The sequence below is a fragment of the Homo sapiens genome, chromosome 3 (assembly GCF_000001405.40).
Source record: "Homo sapiens chromosome 3, GRCh38.p14 Primary Assembly".
Classification (NCBI taxonomy): domain Eukaryota; kingdom Metazoa; phylum Chordata; class Mammalia; order Primates; family Hominidae; genus Homo; species Homo sapiens.
The window spans coordinates 133,905,865-133,907,683 of NC_000003.12; positions in this window are offsets into that span (position 1 = coordinate 133,905,865).

Sequence of the window (1,819 nt, forward strand, 5' to 3'; positions counted from 1 at the left end):
TATAGTCACTACAGTTAACTTTTTATAGTTTTAGTATAGTATATTTTCCAATCTTTCCCTTTTTAAGCTATTTATATAATTTTTCTGAAAGCGTGTTTCTTGCAGGCAGTATATATTAATATTTGGGTCTTGCTTTTTTGTCTAAACTGACAATATCACCTTCAATGAGAATGGTTAGAAAATTTACATTTAATGTGATTATTGATAGTATTGGCTTTAATTAAATTTATCAATTGCTATTTTTTTCCCATTTGTCTAATCTGTTCTTTGTTCCTTTCTTCCTCAATTTCTACCTTCTATTGGATTGAGCATTTTTTTATGATTCTGTTTTATCTCCTCTGTTGGCTTGTTAGCTATAACTTTGTGGTGTTATTTTGGGGGTTACAATAGGGTTTATAGTATGCATCTTTGATTTAGCATAGCCTACCTTCATATACTATCATACCACTTTACCTATAGTACAAGAACCTTACAACAGTATACGTTAGGTTCATGAGAGAAATGTAAACAAATGTAAAGGTATAATGTTAAATCATAACTGCATATAATTACTGTAGTACATACTGTACTACTGTAATAATTTCATAGCTACCTCTGTTGCCATTGCAGTGATTTCAAGTGTTGTATTTGCCTAAAATACCATGTGATGCTAATCATATAATCATATAAATATACTCATAATATTGTCAGTTTGTGGCCTAAAAGATTAAATTGAATTTGTGATCAGAATATTTTCAATATTTTACATTTATCAAAAAACAATTTCAGCTAGATATGCATAAAATTAGTTTTGGCCAGGTGTGGTGGCTGAAGCCTGTAATCCCAGCACTTTGGGAGGCTGAGGTGGGCGGATCACGAGGTCAGGAGATCGAGACCATCCTGGCTAACACAGTGAAACCCCTGTCTCTACTAAAAATACAAAAAATTAGCCAGGCGTGGTGGTGGGAGCCTGTAGTCCCAGCTACTTGGGAGGCTGAGGCAGGAGAATGGCGTGAATCTGGGAGGCGGAGCTTGCAGTGAGGCGAGATCATGCCACTGCACTCCAGCCTGGGTGACAGAGCGAGACTCTGTCTCAAAAAAAAAAAAAATTAGTTTCTAACAATGGAACATGCTGCAGCAATGTTAAGTAAATAATCTATACTTACTTAAAGTTTAAAACTAGAGACTGATATTTCAAGATTTTTTTAAACAAATGTTAGTCAGATATTCAATAATCAGAGATAAAAATGTCAGTGGGGTTTAAGTTTTCTTACTGGTATTACATTGCATGTGAATCATCTTAATTTGAAATGTCAAGGAAAGAATAAAGCTTACTTATGACCTACCTAGATAGGTTCAATAATTTATTTTTTCTTTTTCTTTTCTTTTTTTTTTTTTTTTGAGGCAGAGTCTCACTCTGTTGCCCAGGCTGGAATGCAGTGGTGCCATCTCAGCACACTGCAACCTCCACCTCCCAGGTTCAAGCGATTCTCCTGCCTCAGCCTCCCAAATAGCTGGGTTTACAGGCATGTGCCACCACGCCCTGCTAATTTTCAAGAGTTTATTTTGAAAGTGCAACCTTTCATAATATGTACAAAATAACAATAGCAATTTGACACATTTTTCTAAAATGAATCAATATGTACAAGATTTTAATTGTAATTGCTACCATTATATAAACTGGCTGCAAAGACTGTAAGAAAAGTTTGAAGAATACTTTTTAATGTTGATAAATTTGGAATTGCCTTTTAATTTATATAATACTCCTTTGATGTGATTTAATAATACTGAGTTGACATAGCTGATTGAATTTTCTTAATTTAGATCTAATTTTGAAACC